Below are 19,417 nucleotides of genomic sequence, written 5' to 3' on the forward strand. Positions count from 1 at the left end.
TGGACTTGACTCAGGGGCAAGAATCCCTTATCCATGAGCCTAAGCCCCACACCTTGACCTCCCCCATCATCCACGTTTGTGGGGCACAATCTCCCTACATCCCCAGGTAATATTTTCCCCAGGTGAGTGCCTCAAGGCCTTATGCAAGTCATGAGACCTCAGAAGAACTTTCCTGCCCCTCTCTGACCTGCCACCTGCACTCAGGAGGGGACTTCGGCCTATCTGGGGCAAAAACACTGTAATAGTAGCAAGAGGAGCCACTGTCATTACACCAAGCCCTGGGCTCGTATTAACTGGGCTCCCAGCCAAGCAAATAACCTGGCAGGAACCAGAAATCTAACAATATCAACTCTTGTTCCTGAGGCACTTTTCCTTTTTCAAAACACATTTTACATCAGTTATTTGATCCTCAGAATAAACTTGTGAAATACTACCGTCCCCATTTATAGAAGCAAAAGATGAGGCAAAGAGAAAAGCAGCCTGCCCAATGTCACACGAGTCTCCCGGGTCCTGTTTAGGGATCTTTCCATTGTACAGCCCTTCCTCACTCCCCAGAGCAGTGAGGAAGGGTGTCTGGTTCATTTATTCATGCCACCAATGTCAGATGTCTTTCTGTGTCTGGCCTTATGTTAGGTGCTGGTGACACAGTAGTCAACAAGACAGACAACCATCCTTGCCCTCCTGGAGTCCCCATTCTAGTGGAGTGACAATCCACTTGTTGACAACTGAATGAGGGTGAGTAGTGCAAGGAAAGTAAGATGATGGGGGACAAACAGATCGGATGGTCAGGAAACACCTCTCTGGGGAGATGACCCAGAGGACAAGAAGCAGCAGCCCTGGAAAGAGGACTTCAGGCAGACAAAGAGCAAATAAACATCCCTGAAGCAGGCAAGAGCCTGACATGTTCAAGGACAGCCAGTGAACAAAGCAGAGAAGAGCCCAAGGTCACTCCCAAGAGATGGACAGAGGCCAGGCTCTGTAGCCACGATGGGAGTTGAGAGCTCATTCCAAGAACAAGGTGAAGCCACTGAAGGATTTTAAGCAGGAGTGAGATGTGATCTGACTTATGCATTTTAAAAGAGATATTTCAGCTGTTGTGTTGAGAATGAGAATGGGTCACAAGGGATTGGAGTGGGTGGGGAGGGCAGACGGGAGAACGAGAAGGTCATGGCCATGGTGCCAAGGAGAAGTGGAGGCCTGGATGTTGCAGGCCTGGGACTAGGGAGGGAGGGCTGGCTGATGCACTGAACATGGGAATGCGGGACAGGCAGGACTGGAACAGCAGCCAAGGTGGGGTGGAGACTGGGCTCACCTGTTAGGAAGTCCCGGACCTGCTGGATTAGGAGCCGTGTGCGTCTGACATCTTCCTCCATCTGGGAGCGGCTGGCGCTCACCTGGGTCTCCAAGCGCTGGGCACTGGATTGAATCTGTGAGGCAGATTCCTCGGCTGCCCTAATCTGTTGACATACACTCTAGGTCAGAAGGGGTAAGGCCCCAAGGGAACCTCTCAGCAGCCCCACGATTCTGCGGATCATCCTCTATGCCAAGACCTACCTAGGAAGCATTTGTAACCAACCCAGCTTACATGTGGATGTTCAGTAAAAGAGAAAAAAAACTATCTTGCACTTGCTGTGGCACCTTAAGCAGGTCACCTAAAATCTCTGGACTTTAGTGTAAAATGGGAACTCTGACTTGCCCGGGGGATCTATCCTGTCTGCCTCCTCCTACCTGTGCCCACCCCGCCTCGGCTGCACTTACCATCTGCCTGGTCCGCTGGAGCTGGGCATTGAAGCCCCGCAGCTGCTCAGCCACCTGCCCCGCCATCAAGAAGGCCCCACCGGCCCTGGGAAGGACACCCCTGCAGCGGGAGCCACAGGCTGTGCCATTGTCTTGGGGACATAGCTCACCAGGGCATGATATTGGGGTGCAAGCCATCTGCCTGGAGTTGCCACAGAGCTGTGGACAGATGGCGGTGTTAAAGAGGCTACCCAAAGCCCCTCAATAACCAATCCCACCCCACACCTGGGAAACCAACAGCCAGACATCTCCATGACAACCAAGCACCAGAAACAGCCAGACATCTCCATGAGAGCTAAGGACCAGAAACTGGTTTCCTTGGCAACCACTGAGCTCACAGTGAGCAGTACAAGGGTCGGGATGGCTGGGGGAGTGGGGTTCTCACAGGGGCAGATCTGCCCTAATAGGAAGCAGGTGGCAGCAGTTGGTGTGTGACAAGCTGGGGTGTGGGCTCCAGGAAGTGGGACTCCATGCCCCAAGTCACCTTGTTGAAGGTGGGTGTCAGGTCAGGCAACGAAGACATCTCCAGCCTCAGGGCCACAAGCTTGGGGCTGCCGGTGCCTCCTCCTCCTCCCGCCTGCCGCACCAGCCTCTCTGCCTCTCTCCGGCTGTCCCTGAGCTGGTCCAAAAGGCGCGAGCTGTCGGAGACCTGCTGAGCAGCCTGGGCTGACTGCTCGTAGGCTGTGCTCAGCATCCGGAAGGCTCCTGTGGCGAGAAGCATGAGGAATGGAGATGGAGGAGGAGCAGGAGGGAGAGGGGGTGGCATGCCCACCACGGCAGTGCCCATGCCCGGGGTTATCCGGGTGCCCCTCTCCTCACCTGAAGGATCAGCACTGCTTATTTTTTCAAACTGCTCCCTCTTCCTCTGATACATAGTAAGGAGACCATTGAAGCTTCTGTCAAGACTCTCCAGGTCTCTCGGAAGGGACAACGTCTCCTCCTCCAGGGGCAGATCCAGCTGCAGGCCCTGGAGAGTTCGCCTGAGAAGGGAGAGGAGCTTACACTAAAATATAGGAGGGAGTTTTGCCTCCCCAAAGCAGCTATCCCCTCAGAGCAACTGCTACTGAGTCAGAACAAACAGAGACCTTGGGCAAAGGCAACAGAACAGAGAATCCACAGGCTAAGGGGGTTCCGCTGGACAGAGGCTTGGCGACCAGCACAATCTTTCTCTGTCCAGGTGCAGATGGAGCCACAAAACTCTCCTCCCTTGACTTCTATGACCCAACATTCCCAATTCTCCTCCCCCTCTTCCAGATCCTGGCTTCCATGAGGAGCAATGCCCTGATGCCCTCCTCCTTCGCTCTCTATGGGCTGGCTTCAGCTACCATCTGTACAGCTGCAGCTCCAAAATCTCTTCCACAGTCCACACCTCCCACTCAGCTCCAGATCCCATCACTGCTGCCAGCTGGTCATCCCCCCGAAGGAGGCTCAGAGTCTACCTCCCAGGCCCTTGGCCACTGAGCTCTTGGAGAGTCCTCTCTCCCTGTGCCCTTTGCAGCTCCACCAACCCAACCACCAGCTCCCTCCTCCAAGCCTCACATTCTCCACCTCCAGGCTTTGATCAGGCACAGAACGCCCTTCCATGGAATGCCCCTCCATGCCTGTGTTTCCAACCTACTGAATCTGGTGGACTGACTGCCCGAATCTGAGACTTAGGTCAGAAGGCACCTCTGTGAAGCCTGCCATGACACATTATAACATGCGTCACATTATAGTTTACCATTTACACATCATTCTCCCCAGTGCGAGCTTCTTGAGCGCAAAGATTATGTCATACTAATTTCAATATCCCCAATGCCTGTACAATGCTTGTTTCATCATAGATGCTCTAAAATTATGTAAAGAGAAAGAAAGAGAGAGAGGAAGGAAGGAAGGAAGGAAGGAAGGAAGGAAGGAAGGAAGGAAGGAAGGAAGGAAAAAAAGGGAAGGAAGGAAGGAAGGAAAAAAGAAGGAAAAGAAGGAAGGAAGGAAGGTAGGTTGGTTTTCAATATTCGCTTGAGTTCCTCTCCCGGAGCCCCCAGCCAGAAGCTCTAGCACATCGTGAGTCACGGAGCCTCCATTTTCATTCTTCTCAGGCTGCCTTTTCCTTCCCCACCACTCACACACCTGGATGGCTCTGTGCACAGTCAGAAAGCCAGTGCTCAGGGAATGCAAACTAATTATAGAAGCTTCCAGAACTGAACCTCACTAAGAAGGCACCTCTGCTGGTGGGATGGGGGTGTGGGCGGGACCAACTTCCATTCCAAAGCCACACGTGAGTTATTTTTAGAGCCCCTGCCTCTCGGATGCCCTCCGCCAGGGTGACTAATCCAGAGCTGACTCTCTCCCACAGGCAGCACTGGGCACTTAAAAGAACGCTGGGCTTGGGCTCCTGGACTGTGTTCTGAGGCCCAGCTCTGCCCTTCGGTGGTCATGTGGCTCTGTCACATCACCTGTCTGTGCCTGTTTTCTCATCTGCAAAACCACACCAGCCTCACAGGACTGTTGTAATGGTTGAAAGAGAGAGCACTGTGAAAATGCCTTTAAACTGTAATGCACTGTACAAATGTAAGGAAGGACCAGCATGCCCGGTACTGGAACCCCTGGAGCATAATTCTTGCAAATGCTTGGCAGGGAAAGGGAATTACCTGAGGGAGAGGATGGCACTGGCCACCTGAGCCACCTCCTGCTCTGTGACTGCGGGGCTGCTGAGAACTGCTCGGATCTGCTCAATCTTACTCTTTGCATCTAGGATCCGGGAGGCCAGGCCACGGTCCTCCAGCCCAGGCCCTGACCACAGGCTGGCGGTGGCATTGCGGAGTCTACCAAAGCGCAGGGCCTGCTCCCGGAGGTCCGCATCATAGGTCTGGAAGCAAGGGTGGCAGGCCACGCACACCGGGTAGCGATTACAGTAGCCTCGCTGGCACTGGTCACAGCGGGGCCCGGTCAAGCCAGGGCGGCAGAGGCAGCGGCCTGATGCCTTGTCGCAGCCCGGGCCCTCTGTTCCCCGGAAATCACAGTCACAGGCTAGGGCCAAGAAAAATGACAGTCAGAGACAGGGGTCAGGGAGACAGAAGCAGCTGTCAGGGAGAGCCCTGAAGAGGAGGTCTGACCTGAGGCTCTTTCTACATGACTTAGAATAACAGAAGTCGCAGCCAGAATAAAAGCCATGGTAACAGCTGCAGTGAAAGCAAACGCTTACTTAGCACCTACCATGTGCCAGGCACCACTTAAAGTCACACACACACATTAACTCATTTGATCTTCACACCACTCTGGGAATTAGCACTCTTGTTTTCCCACTTTTTCTAGATGAGGCAACTGAGGGACAGAGAGGTTAAGTACAGCATGCCTCTTCCTCTAAGAAGGAAACCAAGTCTAAAGAGGGGAAGCAGCTCCCTCAAAGTCACTCAGTGAGGCAGGGGCAGAGCTGGGACCACAATCTGGTCTGCACACTCCAAGGCCTGTGCTCCTGTGGTGACATCAAACTGACTCCGTGGGAAACGACACCCTTTCCCCTTCAGGACTCACTTCCTCCATCTATGAAGAGGGAAGAAACAGCCTCCCCTCCTTGCTGCTGCCCTGGAGATGGCTTCTGGGAAATGCTCTCTCTCTCTCAGGGAAGTGGGGAGCAAAGCAACCAGCATGTCACGGGGACGCAGGAACAGCGGGCATAGGCCTGCCTCAGGGGCTTGGAGGCCATGCCAACAGGCCGGAGTGTGTGCACTCACAGGGCTGCCCAGGCCCACACCACATGCATCAGTACAGGACATCCTGCCCTGCTGCAGACCTACACGCCCCCACCATGTGCCCACCCGCGTGCTCGGCCCCCAGAGCCTCAGCGTCCCCCAGGCTTTGAGCATGCACCTCGGCATCCTGTGGCCACGTCTCCATAGGTCCGGTCTGGACACTGGCGGATGGCTGCAGCGCTGCACATCAGGCCACCAAAGCCTTCCCGACAGGGGCACTGCCCTGTGAACTGCGTGGGGAGAGCACCGTCAGTGGACCCTGCCTCACAGCCTCTGCCTTACCCTGGTGTCAGGGACTGTGTCCTAGATTCCTGGTCCACAGGTAGAATCCAGGGCTCATGGCCACCTCCAGAGCTGCTGTGCCCACAAAACAAGGGCTCCCACTCAGAGATGAGCCTTGAAGTCAAGGCCCAGCATAGGCCCTTCAGAAGGTGTGGTGCATATGGTATTACTGACGGCCAAGAGCCACAGAGGGAGGGACATCTGGTGACTTCCCCAAATGAGAACGGGGACAGAAGACGCCCAGTCTGACAGGGGAGAGGCCTAGAAGGGCAGCATGGAGGGGCAGCAGAGAGGCTGGTGCTCAGGACCCCCCTCCCACTGAGGGGGCCCCCGGACCACCCTCACTTCGTACCTGGTTGCACTGTGGGCTGAGGGAGTTGTGCGGGTCGCAGGCACACGGTTCACAGCCCTGGCCACTGGCCAGCTTCCAGTGGTAGGGAGCACACTGGTCACATTTGGGACCCACCACGTTGGGCAGACAAAGGCAGCGCCCACTCTCCTCGTCACACGGCATGTCCCTCCGGGACCCCAGGATGTTGCAGTCACAGCCTGCAGGAGGAGAGCTGCTGAGCTCAGGCAGACGCTCCATGAAAAACTCACCCCCAGAGGACACACATCCAGGGAGGGGCGCTGCCTGGGAAAAGAACTGGGCAGGGCCCTTCCCTGCAGATGACATGGCTGACTCACAGGACCCCTGCGCTGTCCCACCAGTTCCAGCCACCTGGCAGCTCAGCCGCCTGCCTGCCCACCCTCCATCTGGCTGACTCAGTCCCACCTTCCAACTCGGACGTGTGCTGCCACCTGCTGGAGGCCAGTGGCACAGCATCTGGCGCTGGGTAAGAGGGCAAGAAGTCCGGACTCCTGGCAAAGGCCCGGGCATACCCCCTCTGTCTACCCTGCAGTGGGATTTCCTCTGAAGAGAGCACAGTGAGCAGGGCAAGCCGTGGGTCTGGTGGCCCCATGCAGCCCACCCCACGTCATGCTGGGCCAAGCCCCCTACTCACGGTGGCAGCCCTGCGGGTTGGCGTAGGTGAGTCCAGTGAAGCCCGGCTTGCATAGGTCACAGCGCTCTCCCTGCACATGCTCCTTGCACACACACTGCCCGGTCACTGGGTCACAGGGAGCCCCTGGCACTGCCCCATCCGGATCACACTCGCAGGCTGAGAGACAACAGCAGCCACCGCAGTAGGAACAAAGAAAAGTAGAGTTCAGAGCAGATTCCAGGAGCCAGGCTGCCTGGTTCAAATCCTTGTTCCACCACTGGATTTCAAATTCACAGCCTTAGTCAAGTTACTTAATCCCTCTGTGCCTCAATTTCCTTGTCTATAAAATAAAAATAATGATACAGCCTTCATAGGCTTCTTATGAGAAATAAATTAGTAAATGGCTGTGCGCGGTGGCTCATGCCTGTAATCCCAGCACTTTGGGAGGCCGAGGCAGGTGGATCACCTGAGGTCAGGAGTTCGAGACCAACCTGACCAACATGGTGAAACCCTGTCTCTACTAAAAATACAAAATTAGCCAGGCACGGTGGCGCATGCCTGTAATGCCAGCTACCAGGAGGCTGAGGCAGAAGAATCACTTGAACCTGGGAGGCGGAGGTTGCAGTAAGCTGAGATGGCGCCATTGCACTCCAGCCTGGGCAACAAGAGCGAAACCATCTCCATTAAAAAAGAGAGAGAGAGAGAGAGAAAGAAATGAGTAAACATAAAGCAGGGGGAGCATATTTGGCACATGCTAAGTACTATAGAAGCGGTTTTGTTGTCATTACTTACTGAGCAACTACTCTGTGCCAACCACTGAACTGGGAACTGTCATATGTTGCCTCATGTAATCTTCATGATAATCCTGGAGATTATTATTCTCATTGTACAGAGGAGGAAACCGAGGCTCAGATATGTCAAATAACTTATTCAAGTTCTCATTACAAGTTCATGCAAGAAACAGGGATCAAACTCAGTTCTGTCTCACTCTTCCCAGAAACAAACATCAACAGAAAGTGACTCAGCTTTCCCCAACCCCCACTCCCTGACTTCTTTCAGACCTTTCAAAATGTAAGACCCCTTCATCCAGAAAGTCTTTTCTGACTAAACCTGCCCGAATCTGATTGCTTCAGTCCAGGCAGCCCTCTCCTATATGAAGTCGCTGGCTCTTGTGTGCATGTTAAGCTGCCTCTGCCTGTTGCCTCCCATTACATTCACAAACACTCCCTGAGCATCAGTTATTTTCCAGTCAGTGTGCTAGGGCTAGAGGATGTGAGAAATAATCCTCGCCATGGAGGAGTTCTCGATGTTGGGAGAAATAGAAAATTAAATCACAAACCTCATTACAACATGGTAAAGGCAATCATATACATACGGAAAAGGTGCTTTCATCCCTCTTCTGCAGGTGTATACAGTTTATATTGCCAAACAGTGTGTGTGTTCCCTGATGGCACAAACTGTATCTTATGTTTACTTTTTTCTTCCCTATGCCCCAAATAAAGCCTAACTCTTGATTGATTGTCTGATTGATGGTCCAGAGAGGTTAAGTGACTTGCTCAGTAATAGCTAAATTAAAATAATCTCCCACAAATCCTGACTCACAGCCAAGTTTTCATGCTCCCTGAGGGCCTTGGTGTGCCCAGGAACATGTACTCTATTGTACCCAGAGGAGATGGGGAGTAACAGACAAATGACACTCTGGGACTCCGGAGCCTCTACTCACAGATGCAGGTCTCCTGAATGGAAGCTCCCGGGCGCCGGTTCCGGAAATAGTGCAGCTGACACCGCTCACAGTTCTTGCCTTCGGTGTGGTCCCGGCAATTGTCACACACACCTCCATATGCCCCCTGGCTGGCGGCAAACACAGCGGGGTCAAAGTGACATGTCTCTGAGTGCCCATTGCAGTCGCACCCTGGAAAAAGAGAGTCCCAGGGCTGACATCTGACCCACACCTTTGCTATCTACAGAGCATGCTCCACAAAAGCTCACTGGCATCTGTAACAACTCTGCAAGATGATCAAGGCAGGGAAGTGGGGAAACTGAGGGCAAGGGAGGTTTGTATAACTTATTTAAGGTTACATGACCAATAAGAAAGCAGAGGAGAATAAGAACTCAGCCTTCCTGATTCTTACTGTTGGAATAAACCCAAGAACAGTGGCCATGTTGGGCCAAAGAAAGAGCCCTTTGAATGCTCTATCCCCAACCCTCCCACTGCCAACACTGGTCTCCTCCTGGGTCACTGCCTGTCTCCAGGATGAGAATCTCTGTTTTCCTCATTTATGTAAACAAAGGGCCTGATTCTAGGGAGCCATTTGAAGTAGGAAAAATGACAATAGAAAAACCAGATATGTCCTAAACAGGGTAAAGCAACTGGAGAGGCCAGAAGAAGCAGGCTCTAGCTGGGGACAGTGGGAGGATGTCACCCAAATACTCTCTCCATCCTCACAGAGCCAGGAGAGCTTGAATTGTAATGGTGCAATTCAGTTTAGATTTACATAAGAAAGACTGGATCCCCCTGCATCCCAGGTGAGATCATCAAGGCCTAGAGGGGCCAGCACTCGACCCAGACCCTACAGGGGAGGGGTGATCCAAAGCTCCTACTTTGGCATTCATGGGCGTCCTGGCCCTCCGCCGGTCTCCAGGGCCGGTTGTTGTAGAAGGGTGCACAGCGCTCACAATTTGGGCCGGCAGTGTTGTGCTGGCAGACACAGACATCGTGGACCTGGGAGGGGGACCGTCAGCCATCAGGAGTAATCAACAAAGAAGGGCACCAGGGATGGACCTGCCCACTGCCCTCTGACCCTCTGCGCACCACTCAGGATCTGGCTTAGATCCCAACCCTTCCAGGAAGCTTCCTCTGAATGCCGCAGACTTCACCCAGCTCCTGTGAAACTGTCTGCTATTGTTCTGCACATATGAGCATGTGTGTGTGTGCACGTGCGTGTGCCCGCACTGCTCCCCTAGTGAGGTTTTTGCAAGCTCGCTGCTTGCACTTGGACACCCCCATGACACCCAGTCAGAGGCAGCGCTTGGCAGGTGCTCAGACACCCTTGGCAAACTGTGGGATCCAGAAGCTGGTGGGGCCCTCTGGAGATTTCTATTCCAACAATCTATGAATACAGTTGTTTGGTTAATGGAACTGTTGTGATGAACTGTCACTAGACTCATTAAGGTATAAAAATAGAATAGCTGTTGCGTGCTAATTGCCTTCCAAATTAAGCCCAACACCTTCAGCTTGGCATTCAAGGACCTGTATCATGTTAGCTGCATTCTCAGCTCCCATGTCCTGCTGACAGCATAGCAAGATGAACTTCTAGCTGCTCCCTCTGCAAGCCCTACTTTCTCCACCTTTTGGCCTTTAGCAATGGTTTTTCTTCTGCCTAGAATTCTCTTCTCTCTGTATTCATTCACAAAATCCTGCCAGCTAGGCTCCAGCTAGAACGGCACCTCTCTCATAAGGCCTCCCTGGTGCCTCTAATTCCATAGATCTCAACACTGCCTGTACCTCAGTGTCACCTGGGGAACATTTTTTAAAATGCCAAGGTCCAGACCCAATTCACTCTGAATCTCAGGGATGAGACCCAGGCAGTGGCACCTTTTAAAAGTGGTGATTCCACTGCATGGCCAGATTTGAGGACCACCAGGGCTGGGTGGCTCCCTCCCACCTCGTCATGTCATAGCATGTTGTATTCCCTCTGTGTCACTCAGCCTTGGGTTCTAGGAGTATGTCTCATGGGCCCTGACAGATGACACACTCCCTGAGCTGGCCTCCCTCTGTACACCTCTGCAGCCTGGGGCAGAATTTGGCCCAGAAGTGGAAAGAAGAATGCCAGCTGAGGCTTGTGCCACCTCTATTTCCCACTCAGGCCATCTTACATGATTTCCTCCTGTCCCCCTGTCACTAGGACAGCTGTCACGCTCCCATGTTGGGTCCCTCTGCTTCTTTGCTCAAGGTTCTCTCTTCTCTACCTGTGGTTCTCAAGCTTGGTTTCACAGCAAAACCCCTTGGGAGGGGAGGGCTTGTTAAACTGGAACGTCTCAAACCCCATCCCTGCTGAAGCCAATCCGCCTGGTCTAGGGTAGACTTAGCATCTGTACTAAACATTGGTCTCTCACCGTGCCCCATATCTCACCACTAGCTGAGACTTTAAAATCCCCAAACCAGTGGCTCTCAGACCTGGCAGTACATTCGAGTCACCTGGGAGCTTTAAAAGCCAATCATAAAATTAGAATATCTTAGGGTGGAGGGCTGGGCAACATTTTTAGCTCTCAGTGAAATTATAATGCATAACGAGGGTTGAGAATCATTGGCTTAAACTCCCTCCCAATTTCCACACTTATGTAAATGAAATGAAAATCATCTCAAATTAGGAAGCAGATCTAAAGAAGTACTAAATGATTCTGATTTTTGGAACGAAAACCACTTCGATTTTTTGTTGTTGCTGCTGAAGTATTAAATACCCAAGTCTTAGATTTAGTGCCCTTCCTGCTTTACAGGAGCCCCAAGAATGTCTGTAGTCTGCCCTGGTCCTGCCCCCTTCCTCTCCCCTTCCCACCCTAGGCTGTTACCTGCACAGCGGTGGAGGGGCCTGCAGAGGCCCCAGGCTTGGGTGCGCAGCGATCAGCATGGCCGTGACAGAAGCAGCTCCCCTGCAGACGGAGCTGGGACACAGCATAGTAGGCGCTGGGAGGGTGGTAGCCCCTTTGGGGCACAGGGGCCAGCCTGGTGAAATTGACTCTCAAGTTTGTGATCTCCCCCACCTCTGAGAGGGCCAAACAGCAAGGAGGGAAGAGTTGGAGAATGGAAAATAAAGAAAGGAAGTTAGAGGCACATAGAGTCTCCTTCATATGTGATACCGTGGGCCATCCTCTCCAGACCTCAACCATCCCATAGCATCCCACAGACAATATCCCTATGGGGCAAGCAGGGCAAGTATCAAATCCCCAACCACGTTGACAAAAACATGAAAGACCAGGAAATTTCCATGACCTGGGCTCCAACTCTGTTTCCTTTCCCACCCATAGTTCCATGGACAAGAGAAGTAACCACACTGACCTTGAATTTTTTGACTTTGAGTTGCTGGAATCCCAGACACTAAATCCATAAGGTTAAGTTGGACCTACAGAGGGAAGGGAAAGAGAAGCGCTGAAGAAGAGACAAATAGTGTGCCCCGAGTTCAGAAGAAACCTTTCTTTCCATTATATGCCTCACACTTGAAGTCCTTGTTACCTGGAACCTGAGATAGACCATGGCTATGAGGCTTGTCATCTGCTGTGGGGGAGAAAGATGATCACTGGGCCCTAAACGTGTGTGTGTGTGTACCCCACCCCCAACCCCTGCCAGTTGAAAATATAAGTATCCTAAGAATTTTCTGAGTTCCCTGGGTCAAAAAGTATGGTAAGATATATCATCTACATATAAGGGTTTAGGAGATACTAATTTTCTGATGACTCAGGATGAGTGAGAAATCTAAAACCCAAGGATGCGTGAATGTGGGTGACCACAGCACTCTGGACAATCCCAGTTTCAACTATGCTTTGATTTATTCAAAAAAAAAAAATCCACTCATCATCTACATATCCCAGGAAGAGTTTTCACATCAGCCCTCCACAAGTTAGGAAAAAGTTCTTATCTGGTGTGTGAAGAATGTAGTTAACATAGATTTGCGTAAGGGTATAACCAAGGAGGAACTGCTAAAACCAAAGGAAGAGTTGCATGGCCTGCATAGAGGGCCCCACTCTGAGCATCGGTCCACATGAGAGCAGCTCTGAGGGCTCACCTGTGTCTCAGCCAGGGAAAGGAGAAGAGAAACTACAGCCTCCTCTGCCAGGGGATGGGGAAACGCAGTTATGAAAGAATTTGACCCACGTTGGGAGGACTTAGGGAGAAACATTCTGAGTTTTTCTTCAGGCAGGTTCTTATTTCTAGCTCAGGGTTTAAGCTCAGGAGAATTCGGGCTCTGGGTTTACCAGAATTCCCTCCAAGGGCTAAGACTGGGTTAGATGGATAGATTAAACTGAAAATGTTTATTTTTGTGTTAAACCCTACCAAGGTGAAATGAAATTTGTGTAATTTGCTCACTTGCATCTAACTAGCATCCCAAAGTCCTCATATCAAAGTAGGGTCGATTTCATCTTCCCACTAGAGGGATGAGCCAATGAGTCACGGGGGAGGGGGCTGTGGAAGACGGCAGGGGTGAGTAATGCGGTGGCCCCAAGGTGTTGCTGAAATATCCTTCCTCAGCAAAGAGGATAAGCAGCAAATGTTTTGAGGGTGGCCACAGGGGTCATTACTGGTGGGAATTCAGGAAAGTCAGCAAGGGGAGCTGGCGAGGGTGTTTCCGTCCCTTCTCAGGAGTCCGTGTGGCTGTGTGAACAGTGGGACATCAGGGATTTCTCCCCAGGCCTACTTTTCAGGATTCCCTCTACCTACCTTCCCCCCATTTAGGCGTGCATTAGGCCTCTGAGGCAGGGACTGGCACCGAACATCCTGCCAGCTCTGAGGCCGACCCTGGCGGACCCGAGGGAAGGTGGAGGTGCAGTCGGCAGCCAGGTACTGGTACACTCGCCAGGTCTTACCGAAGTCTGAGGAGCGCTCAATCAGCATGCCGGCGGGCATGGGCCCCTGTGGAGACAGGGGCAGTGTGCAGAGGGGAGGCACTGGGGCTGTGCCCCGTGGAGACACAAGCAGAGAGACAGGCTCCTCCAGTGAACTCGGGAGAAAGGGGGCCCAGTGGGAGCAAGTGGGCTCGGAGCATCCGGGTCCAAACCTCCTGGCATACCACAGGCCACAGAAGTTTCTCCCAGGATCTGCCTTCCAGGAGTGATCCCTAGCTCAGCTCACCAGGCTTCCAGGATAGACATTTCTCTGCTCCTACACTTCGCACAGTTGACCATTTTTTATTCTCTCTCTCTCTCTCTCTCTCTCTCTCTCTCTCTCTCTCCTCTCTCTGTCTCTCTCCTGGAACTCATGTCCAGCCTCCTCTGTCATGGCCCTCCAAACCACATTCCCCACTCACCAGAGAGCTCTTCCTGGGTGATTATCTGATCTGTGAGAGCTTCAATCAGTCTGCATTGATCTCATGATATAAACTGAGCACCTTAGCATGACATATTGAGTCCCTGCTCCTTCCTACAAAATGATTTCATCCATTTTGGGTGGCTTTAAATGTGGTCTTTATGCTGACAGCTCCCAGCTTGAACAACTTCCTGGAACTGCAGGTCTATAATAAACTCAGCCTCCAAAGCAGATACTGAACCAGGCCCAGGCCTGTCTCTCCAGCTTCAGGGTCCCCTCCTGCCTGATCTCCCTAGTAAGCTTCATCTGATTTCCCCTTTCCCCACGTTCACTCTTACTCAGTCATATCTTCTGTTTTTTGTTTGTTTGTTTGTTTGTTTGTTTGTTTTGAAACAGAGCCTCACTCCGTCACTCAGGCCAGAGTGCAGTGGTACGATCTTGGCTCACTGCAACCTCCGCCTCCTAGGTTCCAGCGATTCTCATGTCTCAGCCTCCTGAGTAGCTGGAATTACAGGCGCACACCACCATGCCCTGCTAATTTTTGTATTTTTAGTAGAAATGGGTTTTCACCATGTTGGCCAGGCTGGTCTTGAACTCCTGACCTCAAGTGATCCACCCGCCTCGGCCTCCCAACGTGCTGAGATTGCAGGTGTGAGCCACTGTGCCCAGCTAATCATATTTTTAGTAGAGACAGGGTTTTGCCATGTTGGCCAGGCTGGTCATCTTCTTAATGATTTTAAAACATAAAATGGGCCTTGTCAGTCCTCTGCTAAAAATCCTCCAATACTATTCTGGAACGAAATCTGAACTTCTGACCATGAGTGAAGAGGCCCCAGGCTCCCTGGGCCCTGCCTCCTCTCAGGCCACCTCTTCTCTTCAAGCCCTAAACCAAGCTCATTCCCTCCTCAGAGCCTTTGTCCAGTCTTTCTTGGAATGCTCCTCCCGCTGGTGGGTTCCCTCTCATCTTTTGTTCTCAGCTGAAATGTCATTTCCTGGTACAGATCTTTTGATACCTGACTGAACTGCATTCTCCTGCTCACGTCTGGCCCACCCCACCCTGCCCCATTATTTTCTATTTCAGCATCTTGTTTCCTTCAGAAACGTCACCACGATTTCCAATTATTTACTTGTTGGTTTCTTGCTTTTTATTCTTTTCCTGTGAGACCAGGATTTCTCAACCGTTCTCACTGTTAAAGTATTGAGTTGGAGAAATCTTAGTCCTAGAAGCTGTCCTGTGCACTGTAGCCTGGTGAACAGCGTCCCTGACTTCTACCCACCAGTTATCATTACATACCCATAGTTATGACAACCAAAAATGTCTCCAGAAATTGTCAGATATCCCCTGGGGGAGAGGAGAGGGCAAAACAGTGCCCCTGGTTGAGACTCAGTAAACCAGGCTGTAGCCCCTATTGTCTGTGGTTCACAGGTGGACCCCCAACACCTAGCACATGGGTGTTTAGCACATATTTGTTGAACAAATGGTGAATCTTCAGTCTGCTCCCCTCCCCCTGTGTATACCTGGAAACTCATCTCGCAGCAGTCTTCAGCCCTCCACATCCCTGCCTCTTGCCACCAAGCACATTTCACCCTCCAGGCCCTGTGTGCATTCCCTTGCCCCCAACCCCAGTCATATACCTCATCTTCTTGCCGCCTGCCTCCCGGCCTTTGTGCTTATGGTTCTGTTTTCTTGGAATAAACATTGCCCTTCCCCTGGCCATTACTGGTCTATGAAAGTTCATCTTCCCCTGGGTGCACTCCCTGACAAGCCCTCCCAAGACAGACCATGCAAGAGCCCCATTCTGGGCTCCCAGCACCTCTTCTTACCAATATCAGAGCACACATTGCACTCTCTCACTACTGACTTCCCCACGTATGGTGAAAGCAGCTTGAAGACTGTGATTTGGTTTTATTCATCTTTATATCCCTAACATCTGACACCAAGCCTAATGAGTAATCAGTGTTCAATAAGCGCTCACAAATAAATGACAAATAAATGAACAGGTGAGCGATGATAAAGTGAGGAGACTATTTAACACTGTCTATCAAATGAATATGCTGCCCTTCAAAGTTGCCACCTTTAGAGACTGGGCATTTATTCAAACAATGCTGGCATTTCTCAAAATATTTTTGACCTTTAGATGGGGCAAGGCTCTTAGAGCCAACTTCTTCAGTCATGTAAGAAATTAGGTCCTATTACTTTTTATTCCAAGCTCATTTTAACTCCTGAAAATTATATCTCCCTTCCTAATCCTTTAATCTTATTAACCAAATTTGATCATTGAATATCTGACTATTTCTGTAGAAAGAATAAAACCAAATCATCTCTGAAAAGAAAAAATTGACCTATGGCAATTAAATGAAAATGTTTCCTCCAAAAGAAGTATCTAGAAGGATGTTCTAAAGGCAGAATCTGAAAGTGCTTTGAGAAGTAATGGCGCTGAATGAGTAGATTGCCCACCAAGAGAGCTGCACCAAAGGAATATCCATCAGTTAGTTGGATAGGCAAGTTCTTGGCTGCTTGTTAAAGTCAATCTAATATGCAAAGTTATTAAAACAGAGTATACCAAGAATACACAACTGTACAACAAGCAACCGGGCCCAGTAGAATTGGTACTTGGCAGAGCTGAATTAATTAGATGGGTTGAGGGTGGAGAATGAGAGAGGAAGAGGATATGCAACCACTGCACGGCCAAGACAGGGAGCCAGGAGGTGCCACTTTTAGCCCAGGAGCGAGTCCTCTTCTGTCACCATGATATAGGCTCATGGTGAGTGTTGCCCCAACCCAGAGAGACAAGGACACTGTGCTCCTCCATGGCTCCACGCCCACATGGCCCAGGAGCCCCTCTCCTATCCACTGCCACCCCCAGGAGGCACACCTGGAACTCCATCATGACTTCTTGAAGCTGGAATCTCCTGTCCAGGTCCAGCTGCAGAGAGACAGGGTTCACATCTGGAAGGACAAAAAATAGAAACTGTCATCCAGAGACTGTCCACTTCCCCAGCCCTGAAGGAAGCCCTGGATTAGACTAGCTCTAGGAACTCAGAAACTCTCTAACCTTGATTTTCCAAACTCCCTCTTGGAGAGGAGTGGGGAGTGGTATGTTTCTGCTTATATTATCTATTCAAGATCCTATCTGTTTTTGGCTAAGTTTCCTTCCCACCATCACCTGATGTCTTCAATACTTTGGAGGGCTTCAACTTGTCTGTTCCACACAGACTTGTTCCCCAAACTTAATTCTGCAAGCCCACCCACTGAGACTGAGTGGAGGGAAATAAAGACATTCCTCTCTCCTCACACCCTTTCTTTCACCTCCAATAAATTCTTCTACCATAACATCCAACAGACCCCAAATATGAGGCAGAAAGATTCTTCTTATCAATCACCCATGTCACACCACCATAAGAAATGCCTGGGAAACCCAAAGGGTTATAGGGCACCTTCCATCCGTCTTATCCTGTGGAGGCTGTACAGTTTGAGTTCCCGTAGATGGCAAATGCTCACCATTCTGTGACTGCCACCAGCGCATGGGGCCGGAGGATGAAGCCACATTCTCTACTCGGTGACTGTAGTAGTTGTGAGGCTGCCTGGAGTCACACTTGCAGCATTTCATCTGCCACTGTGGGAGAGGGAGATAGCAGACACTCAGAGGTGGGGTCCTGATAGAATTCCCCCTTGCGTCCTGAGATCCCAGCATATCTCCTCTGTGGAAATCCTGCCCTTAGGAATCACTAATTTTATTAATACAATTTGAAGGGTTAATCTCTTAAAACACAGCTATTGATCACCTTTTAATTGGTCATCTTTTAATTCCTTGGTGCCCCTCCTAACACATAGCAAGTGAATGGTGAATAGATGTGTGAACGGAGAAGAGGTACGAGGTGGGAAAAAATACTTGAGTATATGATATTGCCTTGCAGAGAAACTTGAGAAAAGTGCCGAGAAAAAAAAAAGGGGGGCGGGGGGAGAAATTCATATTATTTGAGCATCTACGACATACTGGGCACAGGCTGGAAAGTTTTATAGTTTACCTCATTTAATCCTGGCAGCCTGGGAAATTCTGGGGTTTTAAGGATCAGAGAGAGAGGACTCCAAAAGAGGACAAGGAAATGTGGAGTTACAGTCCTAGCTCTGTCACCTCTACTTCCTAGGCTTAACTTTCTCCTCCATAAATTAAGTGGGGATTGAGCTAGAGCTTTTCATTTACCCAGCAAATGCTTATTTAGCATATACTATGTGCCAGACTCTACTCTGGGCTCTGGAGTTACAATAGGGAACAAAACAAAGGCCCTGCCCTCAGGGACCCAAAATTCTAGTGACATTCAAATGATCTCTAAGGCCTTCCAGCAGTGACATCTGGGGCGTGAGGATCTTTCTCAGGTTCGGTATTCCCTACCTACAGGAGAGCAACCGGCCTCACTGGGGAGGTCACCAATAACCTGGCCTACGCTTATCTCTTGGAATGAGACAGGAGCCAGAACTGAACCCCATAGGTTTCATGGCAGAGCAAGGATCACCAAGAAAAAGAGCATGGCCAGAGAGGCGATATATCCCTTGTTCTTTTAGCTTGTGCCTATGTGCATACATATACACATACACACACACACACACACGCACACGCGTGCACATGCGCACACGCACACACACACACACAGATAACACGACCTTTTCCCAGCTCCCCCATATAACATACATAAAATCTGCTTTCTCTGAGTAGCCATGATCCCAAACCCTGTGCGCAGCTTAAACCATACTGTCCAGAGGGCTCCAGATTTACCCACAAATAGATGCAAGTCTTGGACAAGAAACTCCTGGACCTGCAGGTCCTTCTGGGTAGGGAAAACTGTCCCTCCACACACCCTGTACCGCTGCTTTCCTCTAAGCCTCCACTCACCAGAACAAAGAACCGACCCAAAGAGTCTGAGTGGATATATGGGGCCTATGCCTTGAGTGATAGAACCTCCCTGCCCAACACCCATCTTCCCTCTCCAAAGCTGGCACAGCCTGCAACAGGAGAGAGCAAAGAGGGGAGCCAGGTGTCTTGGTTCCCTGGGCCTCTGCTTCCCACTCCACTTTCCAGGTCTCACCCAGTCTGCAAATGAAGAGAACTATCACCCTTCCTAGTGCTTGGAGGTGCCCTTGGCATGTCCAAAAATGCTTTATTAAACATTCATTCTTTGGGTGTTTAAGGCTCAAATAACAGCTGGCACATAAGCCCTTTATAAAGTAGTACCCATTGGTGGGGTGTGGTGGCTCACGCCTGTAATCCCAGCACTTTAGGAGGCCAAGGCAGGCAGATCACGAGGTCAGGAGTTCAAGACCAGCCTGGCCAATATGGTGAAACCCTGTCTCTACTAAAAATACAAAAATTAGCTGGGCATGGTGGCAGGTGCCTGTAGTCCCAGCTACTCGGGAGGCTGGGGCAAGAGAATCGCTTGAACTTGGGAGGCAGAGGTTGCAGTGAGACGAGATCGTGCCACTGCACTCCAGCCTAGGCGACAGAGCGAGACTCTGTCTCAAAAAAAAAAAAGTAATAAAATAAAATAAAGTAGCACCCATTGCCCCACCTCCCACCACTCACTGTGCATTCCCTTGCCCTGTTATATTTTTT

At 50.9% G+C, this 19,417-nt stretch overlaps 1 protein-coding gene and 1 non-coding gene across 7 annotated transcripts in view, besides 2 other annotated features; both read right to left on the reverse strand.

The window, feature by feature from the left end:
• LAMB3 (laminin subunit beta 3) overlaps nt 1–19,417 on the reverse strand; it is a 37,556-nt gene that overhangs the window by 6,354 nt on the left and 11,785 nt on the right. For 4 of the 6 annotated variants that reach the window (NM_000228.3, XM_005273124.5, NM_001127641.1 and 1 more), the window contains 15 exons: nt 17,311–17,425; nt 16,685–16,758; nt 13,224–13,415; nt 11,847–11,910; nt 11,360–11,553; nt 9,392–9,512; nt 8,514–8,702; nt 6,812–6,967; nt 6,160–6,356; nt 5,644–5,755; nt 4,425–4,803; nt 2,617–2,777; nt 2,282–2,502; nt 1,759–1,956; nt 1,313–1,457 (listed from right to left, as the gene is read on the reverse strand). In NM_000228.3, the coding sequence (NP_000219.2) occupies nt 1,313–1,457; nt 1,759–1,956; nt 2,282–2,502; nt 2,617–2,777; nt 4,425–4,803; nt 5,644–5,755; nt 6,160–6,356; nt 6,812–6,967; nt 8,514–8,702; nt 9,392–9,512; nt 11,360–11,553; nt 11,847–11,910; nt 13,224–13,415; nt 16,685–16,758; nt 17,311–17,425 (2,518 nt within the window). The remainder of the gene's footprint in view (nt 1–1,312; nt 1,458–1,758; nt 1,957–2,281; nt 2,503–2,616; nt 2,778–4,424; nt 4,804–5,643; nt 5,756–6,159; nt 6,357–6,811; nt 6,968–8,513; nt 8,703–9,391; nt 9,513–11,359; nt 11,554–11,846; nt 11,911–13,223; nt 13,416–16,684; nt 16,759–17,310; nt 17,426–19,417) is intronic. The other 2 variants (XM_017001272.3, XM_047420351.1) reach the window with 1 other exon arrangement.
• On the reverse strand, nt 2,221–2,287 carry MIR4260 (microRNA 4260). The gene has a single exon (NR_036213.1). It is a non-coding gene; the product is annotated as a microRNA 4260 (primary transcript).
• Nucleotides 8,125–8,626: an enhancer, noted in NCBI's record as "H3K4me1 hESC enhancer chr1:209802693-209803194 (GRCh37/hg19 assembly coordinates)". NCBI's record gives its function as "activates a minimal SCP1, AML or CMV promoter by ChIP-STARR-seq in primed H9 embryonic stem cells {active_cell/tissue: H9 hESC(primed)}" and the evidence as "EXISTENCE:reporter gene assay evidence [ECO:0000049][PMID:30033119]".
• Nucleotides 8,627–9,128: an enhancer, noted in NCBI's record as "NANOG-H3K4me1 hESC enhancer chr1:209803195-209803696 (GRCh37/hg19 assembly coordinates)". NCBI's record gives its function as "activates a minimal SCP1, AML or CMV promoter by ChIP-STARR-seq in primed H9 embryonic stem cells {active_cell/tissue: H9 hESC(primed)}" and the evidence as "EXISTENCE:reporter gene assay evidence [ECO:0000049][PMID:30033119]".

This window comes from Homo sapiens, chromosome 1 (assembly GCF_000001405.40).
Source record: "Homo sapiens chromosome 1, GRCh38.p14 Primary Assembly".
Classification (NCBI taxonomy): Eukaryota; Metazoa; Chordata; class Mammalia; order Primates; family Hominidae; genus Homo; species Homo sapiens.